The sequence below is a fragment of the Homo sapiens genome, chromosome 10 (assembly GCF_000001405.40).
Source record: "Homo sapiens chromosome 10, GRCh38.p14 Primary Assembly".
In the NCBI taxonomy this organism is placed as follows: Eukaryota; Metazoa; Chordata; class Mammalia; order Primates; family Hominidae; genus Homo; species Homo sapiens.
The window spans coordinates 128,796,718-128,812,266 of record NC_000010.11 but is presented as its reverse complement, the minus strand read 5'-3'; the positions used below and the strand labels follow the sequence as shown (position 1 = coordinate 128,812,266).

General features: G+C 46.0%; 1 long non-coding RNA gene across 1 annotated transcript in view; it reads right to left on the bottom strand.

Moving 5' to 3' along the window:
* Positions 1–624: 624 nt before the first annotated feature.
* Positions 625–15,549, bottom strand: part of LOC105378555 (uncharacterized) — a 29,689-nt gene continuing 14,764 nt past the window's right edge. The window contains exons 3-5 of the long non-coding RNA XR_946460.3: positions 13,351–13,549; positions 2,749–2,917; positions 625–713 (exon numbers count right to left, since the gene is read on the bottom strand). This is a non-coding gene — a long non-coding RNA (uncharacterized LOC105378555). The remainder of the gene's footprint in view (positions 714–2,748; positions 2,918–13,350; positions 13,550–15,549) is intronic.

Here is a 15,549-nt window from a genome sequence, read left to right as displayed (position 1 = left end):
TGCTTTATGTTCCCGGGGCCAAATGGGCCTCAGAACAGACCTGAAAATCTGTGAGATGGAAACCGGGAACTGAGCGGTCCCGTGCAGAAAAGAGGCTCCGAGTGTTTACACAACATCCCCAGGACGTACTGCACTTTCCAGGGCGAGTGTCTTTCCAAAACGCCTGCAGACCCAGCCTGCGTCAGGCACAGCTCCAACTTTCCTGCAAAAATCGCCTTGCAGGGCCCTTCATCCTCCTCTCAGTTCAGAAATGGGGCTGGAGAGTTTCACACACGCAGCCCAGATAGGCACACGTGTGGGATCTTGCTGTGTTGCAATCTCATGGGGGTAAAACGGCTGCTGAAATTGGGTAGTCACGGACTTTGGATTTTTAGAGAATACCCAATTCTAATCCTAATGGGAATGAGGATGACGATGATGATGATTCTGTGAAGTAGCGAGCTCCATTTCCCTCACGGTTCAGACCGAAAACCATCTTTCTTTCCAGATACTGCAGTGGAACCCTAGGAAATCATGGTGTTTTGTGAAAAGCTCCTCAGTCTGTGGGATGAACCTGGAGCTCCGACAAGGATAGCTCCAGGCTTCTTTTCAAATCCTCTGGAGAGGGAATGTGTGCGAGAGGAAGTCGGGGGGAAGAGCAGAGACAGAAAGATGTAAATCACCGTCACTTCATAAAACGGAGTTTTCTTGTAATATGCTTTGGTAATGTTGAGCTGAAAATAGATTGACAATCAAAATGGGCTTAATCTGATATTAAAGAATTCTCTTAAAATCCCCCAAACAATTGAGATTTTTTTTTCCCTTTGGTTTGTTTTGCGTTAGCTCTTCCAAGAGGCTGTGGATGTAAAGAAATATATTGACATTAATTAAAGTGAGTTTTGTGTTGCTTAGTGGGGGCAGTTTTGGCTCTGGATTATCAACTGCAAATAATCCTGCCTGGTTCACATAGCCGGAGACTCGCCCCCCAAGTGATGAACCACCCCTAACAGGAAAAGGTCAAAGAAAGACTTTTTGACCACACCACACGGAGGGTAGATGGTCCCATAGCTAATCATCTTTCCAGGTCAGACCCAGTGCATCCAAAAAGATTGAAAATCTGCCAGGTGTGGTGGCTCACGCCTATAATCCCAGCACTTTGGGAGGCCAAGGCGGGCGGATCACCTGGGGTCAGAAGTTCCAGACCAGCCTGGCCAACATGGTGAAATCCGTTTCTATTAAAAATACAAAAATTAGCCATGTGTGGTGGCGGGCACCTGTAGTCCCAGCTACTCAGGAGGTTGAGACAGGAAAATTGCTTGAACCTGGGAGGTGGAGGTTGCAGTGAGCCAAGATCGTGTCACTGCACTCCAGCCTGGGTGACAGAGCAAGACTCCATCTCAAAAATAAAAATAAAAATAGACAAAAGGATTGAAAATCTACATCATCCCTGCTCACATGGTGCCCAGACAGACCCTGAGTTCCAGCCTAATCCTTCGATTTCTCTGGTCAGAAACTGGGAAAGTGGCAAATTTTAGGGAAATGCTCCACATGAACTAGAACCCTATCTGGCCCTTCAGAAAGGTGGCTGTAGTGTCTTTAAAACAGGAAAAATGCACATCTTTTCCTTGGCTTTTGGTCATAATGCAGACCCTTTCATCTGGGGGAAGTAAATCTATTTCACAGTACATCCATTACTTCAGTTGATGAGGTCTAATAAAAATTCTTAATTAAAAATAATTGTATTAATGATAATATCATAATCAGAGCCATAATTCCTATTTTCACACATAAAATCCTTTGATTTTGAAACAAATCACCACACAGCTCTCACTTGGCTTCTTATTGACCAAATTAATCAAATGGGAGATAATATTTTAAAGGAAAACCACTATGTTTTAGACTCTTTACTTCATGACTAACAGCACGTTAGCAGCTCCTAATTTTGAAGGAAGTGTGATGGATCTCGTCTCTCTATCTGGACACAGCACCCAGCTACACAGGCATTGCAGAGCCCACTCTTGGCACACACACGCATTTCCTGCTAAGCTGCACACTGACTCACAAGGGCTGTGATATATTTTCCAATGCCCACTCTGTGTCTTCACAGTAAGACTATGCCATTGGACACAGACAACAAACCACTGTAATTGTTCTAATATGGCCATGGCCACATGGCTGGAAAACCTTGCCTTTTCCAAGGTGCTTTAAGCCCCCTTTGGCACAGTCCATGCCTTTCCTCAGGGAGTGGAGTGGGTACTTTACAGGAACAAATGTAAGGATAACTCCGTATTCACCTGTTTTCTGTTGCTTTTAACAGAATACCTGAAATTGGGTAACTTATAAAGAAAATAAATGTATTTATTGATGTTCTAGAGGCTGAGAAGTCCAAGGTCAACAGGCCCAATCTGATAAGAGCCTTCTTGCTGGTGGGGACTCTCTGCAGGCTCCAGAGGCATCACAAGTCATGGCACAGCAAGGGGCTAAGCATGCAAAGGTGGTCGGTCACTCAGATCTCCCTTCCCTTTCTTATAAAGTTACCAGGTCCCCTCCCATGATAACCCATTAATCCATTAACCCATTAATCCATTAACCTGTGAATGGACTAGCCCATTCACAAGCATTCTGCCCTCCTGATCCAATCACCTCTTATAGGATCCCTCTCTCAATACTGTCACATTGGGGATTAAGTTTCAACATGAGTTTTGGAGGGGACATTTAAACCATAGAAAGACCCAAAACCAGAACTGTTGGTGGCAGAGATAGCCTCACCCTGGGTCCATAGGGATGGCTTGGTGATGGGAAGTCTGCCACACATTCAAGTTGAGTTCTCAAGGATGCCCTCAGCCCTGTGGTCCTGCAGTCACATGAGTGGTGCCTGCTCCAGTGGCTTTCAAGGTAAATTACGACTTCAGAGGCAAGACACACATGATTGATGAAACTGAAAAGTGAAAGGCGAAAAGGAAATGAATGAGAAGCTGAATATGTTGGGCAGAGTGTGGGATTTTTTAACTCTGATGATTTCATGTAAATCTTTCTTGGCTATTGAGGTTTATGAATAAACTCAGGGCCAAATTCTTAGTCATTCAAAGACTCTCAGTTTTCAAACTGTGTATCGCTGGCTGTTGTGGAAGGGTTCTGAGAGTCATCTCATTTTGAGGATGGCTGTTTTATGGTTGCTGGACTCTTGGCACCTGGGCAGCCCTTTATTACACTTGGCAGGCAATGGTGGAGAGCAGTTTGCTGTGAGTGGTTTTGGACACAGCCTTTTGTCCCAGCAGACCAGTGGGTGGAGCAGGGGGAAGGAAGCTTAGTTGTCCAGAACACGTTGAATCTACCATTTTGGATCTTGGCAAAGGGCCTTAGATGACAAATGCATTTGTCATGGGTTGAACTCTCTCTCCCACCCCACAAAGACATGTCCACTCTGTGGATACCCCTGTGGATGTAACCTTATTTGGAAAAAACACCTCAGAAGAATTAGTTAAGATCTTGAAATGAGCTTGACTGGATTTAGGGTAAGCCCTAAACTCATTGACAGGAGTCCTTCTAAGAACAGGGAAGACAAAGGGACAGGCAGAGAGGAAGGGTTTTTGAAGATGGAGGTGGCACAGCAGCAGCGATGCATCTGAAATCAAGGTGCACTGAGGACTGTGGCAGCCCTAGCAGAGAGGAGAGAGGCAGGGAACAGATTCGCCCACAGAGTTTGCAGAAGGAATTCACCTGCCGACACCTTGATTTTGTGCTTCTGGCCTCCAGAACAATGAGCCAATAAAGGTCTATTGCTTTATGCAACCAGGTTTTGGTAATTTGTTACAACAGCCCTAGGAAACTGATCCAAAGTCTTTAATTAACACAGTATCTATAACTGGTGTTCTGGCTATCTCTACCCTTATGGAAATTTTAAGTGAATGTAATATTTCCTTCCTCATATTTTGCTATTTGTTCACATATCTGAAGCATGGGTTTCTTTTCAGTGGGTAGATTTTCATTGGCCAAAGGGTACCTCTGTGCTCTGTAGTCTGTTTGCGACACCTTAAACCACAAGGGCTCCCTCACAGTGCTTCCGCCTTAGGTCAGACTCCCAGAGGCAGACCCTGAGGCAGGGATTTGGGCAAATGTGGCTGAGACTGAGGGAATGCACTTCAGGAGCACAGCAACAGGGCTAAGGCCAGGAAGACAGGGAACGGGAAGTACTGGGCAAGGACGTGGCCTCGGGTGGAGCCTGGGGGCAAAGGAGACCTGTGGGGCATAAACTCTACCCCCTTGTGATGAGACAACTGGTCTTTGCACCTCCATTTCTGTCAGCCATTGGTTGCAACTGAGGAGGGCATGGGGTGATGTAGCCCTCCTGGTTGCTGGACACTGGGGCCTGGGAACAGGAATGTGGTTGGGCACCAACAACACCTACTCCAGGGGTACCCACAGGTAAGGGGTTCCACAGCAGACACCCCACAACCTCCTTGTTACTGGCCTATTTCAGAGTGGCCACCCTATTCGTATTTTGAACCAACTAAGACCTAGCTGTCCCTTGGCCATTGGGTTTTGCAGTGTCCCAAGACATAGACCAAATTTCTCCTCCATTTTCCTAAGCACAGGTGTTTGAAGTTCCTGTGTTGGAGTGGCTACAGGCATCCTCAGGTTGGCATTCTTGTTATTTCTCAACATTTCAAAATGAAACATCCAGCAAATGGTGTCCCTTAACTTAACCGTTCACTCTGTCCTCCCATCCCCAATGAATACTGAGGGTGGCCTCAGTAGTTGAGGCTGCAACAGCAAACCACACACACTTGCTCTTTTAAAGAGCTCAGAGCCTGGGCTGGAGACAGGAAATTAGCAGATCATAAGGACCCGGGCAGATGGCTGTTGCCGCCACAGATAGATGGATCAATGGCTATGTGGGTGCTTCAGGAGCCCCTGACTCTGGAAGATCATAAGAGCAAGCCGAGAAAGATTCACAGTAAGGTAGGTACTGACCAGGTAGAATGAGAACAGAATGGCAAAGCCTCAGAGATGCCAGAAAGCACTGACTTCCCCACACTCAACAAGGAGTTTGGTGGGGTTAAGGGAGGGTGTGCTCGGGAGAGCAGTGCAAGACTGTGTCAGATGAGGTCAGCTCAGAGCAAGCCCTTTAATAAGGATGTTGAGGCTGACAGGTTTGACATTGCTATTAAAATTTGGGAATTATGGCAAAAAAAATAAAAGAAGTGTCACATTTCTCTGAGGTTTGAGGCAGTATAGCCCAAGTTTAGCACCCAGACACTGGAGGTGACAATCTGTCCAACCCAGCCCCTTCTAGTTGAGTGACCTTAGACAAGGGGCTTGAAATGGCTCTGCCTCAGTTTTGTCACTTGTCACGTGGGAGGTTGAAAAAGGCCTCTAACTCCTAATCTTGTGAAGATTAAGTGAATATCACATAATGCTCAAGACAGTGGCTGGGGACAGAGTGTGTGCTTGATGCATTTTAGCTACGAGGCCTAAAACAGTACCCAGCCTATTGCAAGAAATCAGTTAACATTTGCTGAATGAAAATCTTGCACTGTGTTGTGAAATATCATGCACACTTTAAATCTGATTGACATAATATCTTCTTTTTAATACAAGATGGTTTTTTCTCCAATGGTTTAGTCAACATAGCAGCTCCAGCAGGGTGCCTCTTGCCCGTGTTTGGATTCTGCAGCCTCCTGGGGGGGTGGTCTAGAAAGATGTGTGAGCCCCAACTCGGGAGTGGAGGCAGGGGCTGAGGACAGCCACTAAGGGAGTATGGGCTGAACCAGTTGTGTGCCCATCACTACAAGCTGTCTACTTAATCCCAGGAACAGGTGGTCAGATGGGAGGTCACAGGTCACTGTGGGTCTGAGAAATGACATGGTCTGCATCAATGTGCCCCAGTGCATCCAGCCAAGAAGACCAATCATGGGAAGAGCCACATGCAGTTAGAGGTTGGGACTCAGCAGATGGGGACTAGGTCTGAAAGGAAGCATTTTGCACAAGTTAAATCATCTTTGTAGATAGGACCCTATTTAGGTCAGCAACTGAGGCAGGCCAGGACCTTGGATTTATAGGCTACTGCTCACAGCCTAGTCTACCAACATAGAGGAAATGTCCCTGGGTGAAGGCATGAAAAGCCCAAAGGCTCAGGTTGGAAATCTCTTTGCTCCTCCTGGCAGAACATCTGATGCTCAGCTTGTCTGGGTCGGATGAGGTGTCCATACATTTTTCTCTCTCTCTTCACGCAGTTAGCCATTTCTCTAAAATATTAGCCAGGATGTTCTTCTTGTTATCTAGTATTATGGAATCAGGCAATAAAAGAGTTGTCATCATGCATTTGTGTGCTGAAACAAAGAAGGTTGCTGTGGGAACTTTGACTCTTAACTTCTAGAAGTTTCTGAGCTTGATTCATAAACTTAATGCTTCAGGGACCTAGCTGTTACCAAACACAGAAAGGATACCATTTTATTTATTTAATCACACATTTATTTACTTATTTATTTTTAGAGGGGGTCTATGGGCAGGAAGATCATTTGAGCCCACGAATTTGAGACCAGCCTGGGCTCAAATGATCCTCCGTGGGTTATGTTGCCCAGTCTGGTCTCAAACTCCTGGGCTCAAATGGTGTTGAGCCTCCCATGTTGTTCTCTCAAACTGCTGAGATTAAAAGTGTGCCCCACCTTGCCTCGCCAAGAACACCATTTTAGATAGCACTTCCATCAAGAAAAAAACAGATCCCCCAAATACTTTTAAAAACATTCTAAGACACTCTTATGGAGTACATTATAGCATGTATTTGACGCATGGATAAGGAAAACCAGGAAATTCAACTTTCCAGTGATGATATTGCAACTTTCTACAGCACACAGGGCAAACTGTTCAGGCTTTAGCAAAGTTCAAGTTCTTTTCAAGCTTTTCTCAGAAGAGTGAGCAGCACTGTGTGCATCTCTCTGCGAATCTGAAAGAATTGGCTGTTAAATGGTTTCTTATAATGCTGCTTCTACTACCACGGCAAAAACAAGTCTGTTAATAAGAGAGTCTCAGTGCAAACGCAGCAGGTTTTCATGATGTACTTTAGGAAGAAAAGAGAGCAGATTAGAAAGAGGAGCAAGGAAAGGTGGAAGGGAGTGGAGTGACCCCTTTGTGCCCAAGTCACTTCTACATGGCCTTGGAGATTGAAGAAAAACCTCAAGATAGATGAGCTCTCATCCCTGGGAGCCGGCCATGCCTCTCCTCTCTTTCTCCTTCCTTTTGGCCTTCCAAATGTACCTTTCAGAAGCTGGTCCAAGTATTCTAAGGGTCAAGTGTGAAGGTTTCAGAGTGGCTATGGTTGTTCCAGCAACTTCCACATGGTGATTTCCTGAGCTGCTCTGGGGCCACAGTCCAGCTATCACTGAAGCTGGACAGTGATCCAGACAATGCGCCAACTTGCAGACCCACAGTCTCATGACTCTCTTCGGTGATAATCTTGCTTCTTCTCATAAGCTAGCTGCAGCTTGGTTGGAAGCCACACACAAACTGTTCCTGGATATCAACGATATCAATATCCCCTGCTCAGAAGTCCATAATTAATCTGCCTCAGGGATTCCTGCTCCAGAACCCATGCCAAGCCTGGCTGCTAGGTAATCCACAGCATCCAGAAAAGGATTCCAGAAGAATCAGGAGCCAGCAGCAAATATTTCACAAGATGCACAGACAGTTGACTTGCTAGGGAACCACCCTTTGGGCACATTTGCTGAGTGCATGGCCAAGCACCCTGCTGTGTTGTAGTCAAGTGTGCTGAGACCTCATGCCTTGGCAGTAGCTGAGGAGTAACAGGAAAGGTGATGCATTGAAACACAATTGATGGGCACTCTGAAGCCAGGCGGGTGCAAATCAGGCAGGAGATGGGCACATATTGGACAGGCTCAGGATTGGAGAGTGAGGTTTTGGAAAAAGGCTTCCTGGATCCCAGGCAGCTAGGATTCCTGCCGGGAAGCAGTGAAGACACACCCACGCTCACATTTGACTTGTTGTATTGAATGTGGAGGAGCTGAGAGCTCTTCTGTCTTGCTTGTGCTCAGTGTTTGTTGAATGGCTGAATAAACAAATAAGAGCTACCATTAAAGTCTAAGAAATGTAAAAATTATAAAGGTAAACATAAGCATAGGGTCTCACGTTAGCAAGCTCAAAAATGCCTGACAGGCTCTGGCAATATAGCTCAGTTTTGACGCATTGATTTCCCCCTGCAGGCCAGGCTGTGAGCTGACCACTGGGGCTGCCTGCAAATCGCATCCTCTGCCTCTGGGAAACCCGTGATGGAAGGGGGTCTTGGTCAAGTGGACGTTTCACAGGCCCGTTTTCCTTCTGACTTGGTGATTAAGGATGCCCAAGTGTGAAAAGCCCCAAAGTGTGGAATGACAGACTGTGACCTAGCACAGCTCCCCAAACGCCCAGCGTAGGGCAGAAGTTCTCACTCTTCACTACCACCAGAATGGCAGAATGGGGGCAGGGGTGGGGGCTTCCAAACATAGAGGTATCCTGAGGCAGAGCCCAGGTTTCCTGAATCTGCATGACAAAGAACAGTGGGGAGCAAAAGGAAAAAAATAACTAAGTGACTGCATCCTAAAACCTTAAGGGATTGCTTTTCTTAAAATCTAAATTAAGCATCTAACAGGACATCCTTGCTGGCACAAAGAGCCATTGGCACTAAGTGGCTTGAAAACCACTTACACAGTCAACGCTAAGCCCAGGCTGGAGCCTTTCTCCCCAGCCAGACTCCTGATTCACAGTTGCTGATTCTCCTTATTGCTCCTGAATGTGGTGAAAAAAATATGAAATATAACTTGAAGTAGGTCCATATTCTTATTCAGGTGGTTTGTATTGCTTAGAAAAAGCAAAATTGTCTGGTCTGGGTCATGCTCTCTGGGTCTTCCTCTCCAGAGGTAAAGGTAAAGGGAGGATGCATGCTAGGATCATCACAGCAGTGTCCAGGTGTGAGTGGATCCAGTCATGGACATCTCACCAGGGCAAAAAGAAACACAAGATGTGTCCCTTGGTTCTAGTTCAGGCGAGGACCAGAGAGTTCCTCCATCTTCTTGGAAGGCTGATGCGAGCAGAGGAGTCCCTCGGCATATTTTCATACATTCCATTTGATACATTCCTTTTTTTCTATAAAGTTGCCTTGGAGATGACTTCTCCACTACTGGACCAGGGAATCGTCTGGTCCCGTGGCTGTTCCAATTGTTAACCCAACCCTCCTGCCTTCTACATCTGCTCTACCAAGGAATCCCAATCTTGCAATGATGCATAGCTCCTGGTTTCCTGAGAAGGCTGTTAGAACTTTCTTTCTGATGACCCCAAAAGCCAACTCTGTGAAATCCTCACCCACCATCCAAACTCAGGCTTTCTTCCATGAGAAGATAGATTTGCACATTCTTCAGGGTGTCAACAGGATTTAGCCCAACTCTTTCCTTCTCCAGGATGAATGTCCTGGGTTCTTTCCGCTTTGCCTCAGGGGACTGGTCACCTACCCTCTCTCATCAGGGACACCCTCCCTCAGACACATTCCTTTTTGTCAAAGTCTTTTTAGGCGTGGAACTCAGGCGTGATTGGACCCTAGATGCATGCCAAGGGTGGCATCCTCTTCATTTTGGCCCCCTTCTCTGTAGGTGCAAAAGCCTACAGAGTGGGTGCAGGCTCCTGCACGCATGCCAGAGTGAGAAGCTAGCCCAGAGAGCGTGGAAGCATGAAGCCAGGAGCCCCTGATGATTTAGAATACTTTCAGATTCCCTGTGATAAGTTAGAGAGACGGAGAAGGCTTAGCGGACTGATACAGTGGTTATTTTCTCAGGATTCCAAGACTGAATTAATTGTGTACACCTTGAGGAAAGTGTGGAGGAAACAATAGGAAAGCTTCCTTTAAAGTCGTCTTATTAAGGGAAAAGCATCCTGGCCTCTCTCTCTCCCAGGGAACCTCCATTCTGCCTTATCAAACACAAGGTGCTTGCTCGATGCAACAGGTTCCTTCCTCCAAAGCTGTGTTCTCACATTCCTCACACCCCCTGTAGGCTTTGAAATCAGTGTTCAAAGTGGACTTTCTGAATTCATGAAAACCCACAGGTCTATAATCCATCCCTAATGGAAGTCAAACATGACACCGGCAAGATAAAACACAGTGGCCTCCCCCTCTGTTCACAGTAGGTGTCTGCGTATAATAAATATTTTATTTTACTACAAAAACAAATAACTAAACATACCCCCTGTGTTTGTTCTGAACTCGACAGTAGCTTTTGTGAGTTTACTATATTTCAAAGCCGAGCGAGGAAACCATAGTGTCATGCCGGTAACTGGGTGCACTCGTACAAAAGAAAACCAAAGCTGCTTTCATTCTCTACAAACCGCGTATTACAGGGATGCCAGCCAGTGCCCCTCTGTGGAGAAACTTGTTGGCACTCTTCTTCTGAGCCCTGTTTGAGAGCAAAGAGTGGCCACCATAAAAACAGGCATAGAGCAAAAGTGTTTGGAATTAGCCATCTTTTGACCTAAGTGATTCGGATTCATTCTCCACAGCCAACATTCACCAATAAACTATCAACACACTTATTGACTTGGTGCTGTGCAGACATCACCTTCCTGTTCTCAGAAGGCCCAGGCCTGGGGTCTTTGGGGTCCCCCGAGAGCAGAGAAGAAGAAGCAAAATTCTAAGGCTACTGGTCTCCAGGGGGATTCAAAGTCAGCCTTGATGATTTTCAGCCATTTCATGGACTCCATCAGTCTGTAGAACCCTTAAAACCACAGTATTTAAAGGTTTCAGGGAAGTCCTTTTGGTATGTCACAATCTTTTACTGAAGTTGACGCTTGAATAAATTGAGAAATACAAGAAATTCATCTCCTTATGTTGCTCACCTTAAAGGCTGTGGGTTAGGGTGCGAGTTGTCTGGGTTGGTGATAACACTGACAACTCTTCGGGAATATTATCTTACCTGTTTGTTTTTGGTCATGTTGCTATGACTTAAAGATCCAGGGAAGATTTTAATGGGACCAGGTCTCCAGAGCATCTGTGCAAACTAGTGGCTAGAGAGAGTACTGTCTCAGTGCTGCTGAGCCAAGTGGGGCAAACTGGTGGCCAAGAGAGTGTTGCCTCAGTGTGGCAGTGACCAAAGTTAGAGATGGCTGTAAGCCATCTCCGGGAGAAAAGGGCCAGTGATAGCATCATGCTACTTAAATTTCATGTTAGATTGCCACCCACACCGTTTCTTCTTCTGACTTCCAAAGGATGTGGATCTGTCTGAATTCTCACAGTTGTCCATAAGAGTATCACAACAGACTGTCATCTTGGTATACACCTGAAATCTCAGCTCTGCTTCTCTGATGACTAATTGTATGCATCAACGTTGACAGTGTTTTTGGATGAGATTAACATGTAATTTAGTGAACACTGAGTAAAGCAGATTTCCTTCTCCAATGTGGGTGGGCTTCATCCAATCACTCAAAGGCCTGGATGGAACACAAAGACTGCCCTCCCTAAGCAAAAGGGAATTCTCTAGCAGATTGCCCTCACACTGGAACTGCATCCCCACTGTTTGCCCTACTGAGTCTCCGGTCTGCTGGCCAACACTGCACATTTGAACTTAGCAGCACCCATAATTGTGTGAGCCAATTTCTTAAAATAAACATCTTTCTTTTTCTCTCTTTGTACATATGTACATACCCTATTGATTCTGTTTCTCTGGAGAACACTGACTAATACAACCTCCTAGCCAAAGCCAATAAGAGCAAGATGATATCTAATAAGCAAAACAGCAGAGACATGGTTAGATAGCTCGTCCTTAGAGTGAATTCTACCCAACAATCTGGGAGCCAAAGAAAAATTTGTATATTTCACCTTTACTGAGCTGTGTTTCAGGGCCAACTCTCCAGCCAGTATGAAAGGTAAAACACAGGCATGAGACAGCACTGTGGATTCATTGCAACTAGTTGCTCCTGACAGCAACAACTTTTTTGCTCAGTGTCTTGTTTTGAAGGCTCCTCATGAGAAATAAGGTGTCCTGACTCTTTCAAGGGGAAGGATGTATAAACCATTGTGTTGTCCTTTTTGTTTTTGTTGAACTTCCTCCAAATGATGGTGGATGCCAGAATCTACATTATCTTCCTTACCAACACACATCCTTCCTCCTGCTGCCTTTGTCATCATTATCTTTTTCTATGTTGTTTTCTATCTTTAAGTAGCTAGACATTATTTTGGGGAGATGGGGCAGAAATAGCACTGGTTACAGTTCACGCTGAAGGTCCTCCGTTGGCCACGGTGGGTCCTCCCTTTATCCTTCTCAACCTTGTTCTCAGCTTGGAATTTTTATCCACTGGTTCAACCCACAAGGATCCCCATGGAAGAAACAGAAAGAGGGCTACTGGAAAGTAGAATCAAATTACTCTCCCTCTGAGGCCCCTAGGGCTGGCTATGTCCCCCAACAGGTGATCCGTGCTCCCCTCAAGGTAAGTCTGTCCTGCCCTGCTCTACCCCTCCCCAGTTCTGACCACCACTTCCTCTCCATGTCCCTTTGGGCCCAGAGCAGATATAACTCCATTGTAGGAAGCCCTGGCGATATCCCTACTGCCTTTACACGCCTGTAGTTAGGTCATTGGTAAATAAGCTGTCCTTGGATTATTCTGTCAGAGAGTGTCATCTGTTTCCTGCCAGGACCCTGATTCTCAGCTGGGATTTTTTTTTTTTTTAAGACCAGAAAATAACCCGGAGTGGGGACATTTGTAATAGAAAGTCTAAGTCCAATTCTGGGGAAGTTGACCATGGTCTATAGTGAGCTCAACTGGTGGCAGGAGAAACATGGAACAAATCCATCCACGGATTTAAATAGACCAGTATGAGGCGGGGCCCTCCATGTGCAAGGAGCTTTAAGAGATCTAGAGGGGCGATGGCTTTGACCTTGACCTCCTGCTTGCAGGGACAAGCCACTGCCCTTTGTCACCAGTTTCACCCTAAACTTGCTGAGTCCTGGTACCAAAACAATTCAGTAGATTCCATTTCCCAAAGTGTGAAAGTGCACATAGCAGAAGAGCGTTTGCTTTGGCAACTTTTGGTAGCCAAAGGAAGAAAAAGGCAGGGATATTTGAGGCAAAACCAAAGATACTCATGACCTAATCAAAGCAGCTTTTACATTTTGGCAATAAACATCTCAGAGTCCTATGCCAAGATCATTGTCAAGGGAAGGGCAAAGACCAGGAGAGTGAAGGCCATAGAGTCGATAGCTAAGGCCAAATGTCACCACCCTCAGGAAGTCTGCCCAGGGTGAAAGGCTCTCAGGTCTCCAAAGACAGAGGCTGGGGTGACCTCGTGGGGCCTGTGACTGGGGGACTGGTGAGGTGCCTGGCCACATCACCCCTTACCTCAGGCTGGATAGTGGCTATGGGCATCCTATTGGAGAAAGACTGCTGTCACATGGCCCCAGTTCCTGCAGAGCCAAGCTTGCACCCTCCTTGGCACTTTTGCTCCAGAATTCCCTCTGCTGAGTCTGGGGCCCAGCTTAAATGCCCCCTTCTCCACAGAGGCTCACTGCTGAGTTCTCTTCACTGTTGGGAGGAAACTCTGAAAAAAAGTAACATAAAGAAATACTCAGATACACATAGATATACATGTGTATGTGCATATGTGTGTATGTGCATATGTGCATATGTGCATGTGTGTATATGTATGTCTGTGTGCATGTGTGTGCATATATGTGTATATGTATGTCCATATATGTGTATGTGCATGTGTGTGCACCACGTCCCGCCTAAATTAGCATATAAAATTAACCATCCTGGATTATTTAGATGGACCCTAATTCCAAGGTGTGTATACGTACGTTCATATGTGTGGATGTGCATGTGTGCATATGCGTGAATATGTATGTCCATATGTATGCATGTTTGTGTGCATGGGTGTGTATGTGTGCCTATATGTGCACATGTGCATGTGTTTATGTGTATATGTATGTGTATGCATGTGTGTATATGTGTGTGCATATGTGTATTCGTGTATGTGCATGTGTGTATGTGTGCATTTGTGTGGGTATATGTATCTATGTGCATGTCTATGTATACATGCACATATGTGTGTGTGTGTTTAAGTGTGTATGTGTATATATGTGTGGGGGCGTGTGTGTGTGTGTACGTGTGTGTGTATTCATTTCCTGCAGTTGCTGTAACAAATTACAACAAACTGGGTAATTTTAAAACACAGAAAAGTATTCTATCAAGTTCTGGAGACTAGAATTGTGACAATAGTGTCACTGGGCTGAAATCCAGATGCCAGCAGGGCCATGCTCCCTCTGAAGGCTCTAGAGGAGGATCCTTGCTTGCCTCTCCCAGGTCCTGGTGGCTCTGGTGTTCCTCAGGTTATGGCCACATCACTCCTGTCTCTGCCTCTGTCCTCACGGGGACTTTTCCTCTCCTGTCCATGTCAAAGCTCCTGCTGCCCCCTCTTCTCCAGACCTTTGTGGTTGTATTTATGGCCCATCCAGATGATCCAGGGTAATCCCCCCATCTCAAGATCCTTAACTTAATCACAGCTGCTAAATCTTTGCCACGTAAAGTAACATTCCTAGGACCCAGAGATTAGGATCTCATAGCTTTCGGAGAGCCCGTATTCTGCCGGCCACAATGCCCATGCACACTAAAATGCCATCTATAAAAATAGCATATATGTGTGTGTGTGTGTGTGTGTGTGTGTGTGTGTGCGTGTATTTAATTTTACAAACGTATTTTTTTTTGAGACGGAGTCTCCCTCTGTCGCCAGGCTGGAGTGCAGTGGCGTGATCTCAGCTCACTGCGACCTCCGCCTCCAGGGTTCAAGTGATTCTCCTGCCTCAGCCTCTCGAGTAGCTGGGACTACAGGCATGCACCACCACACCCAGCTAATTTTTGTATTTTTAGTAGAGACGGGGTTCCTCCATGTTGGTCAGGCTGGTCTCGAACTCCTGACCTCAGGTGATCCACCCACTTTGGCCTCCCAAAGTGCTGGGATTACAGGCATGAGCCACCATGCTTCAGCCAAGAAATAACCTTTTAGCCACTATCTGGGCATCCGTTAGCCCAGTTCAGTTGACACATGAAATTACCATCACAAATACCTGCACAGTGACATCTAGACTAATGTTTGACCAGAGATCTCGGTACTGTGTCCCAACAAAATGAGCATATAAAATTAACCATACTGGATTATCTAGATGGACCCTAATTCCAATAACAAGTATAGGAGAAAGACAAAAAGAGATCTGACACAGATAGAAGAGGAGATGGCGCTGTGAAGGTGGAGGCAGAGATTGGAATGGCACAGCCACAGACAAGAAAGCCAAGCTGGAAGATGCAGAGCAACAACTCTTACCCTGGAGTCTTCAGAGAGAGCACGAACCTGCCAACACTTTGATTTTGAACTTCTGACCTCCAGAACTGTTGGGGAATAAATTTCTGCTGTTTTAAGCCACTTATCTTGTGCACTTTGCTATGGCAGACCCAAGACGTTGATATCCAGCCTAAGGTAGTGCAGGTGATGCAGGACCAGAGGGGACCTTGGCTTTGACTTTGCAGGGGCAACAGCAGTAATGG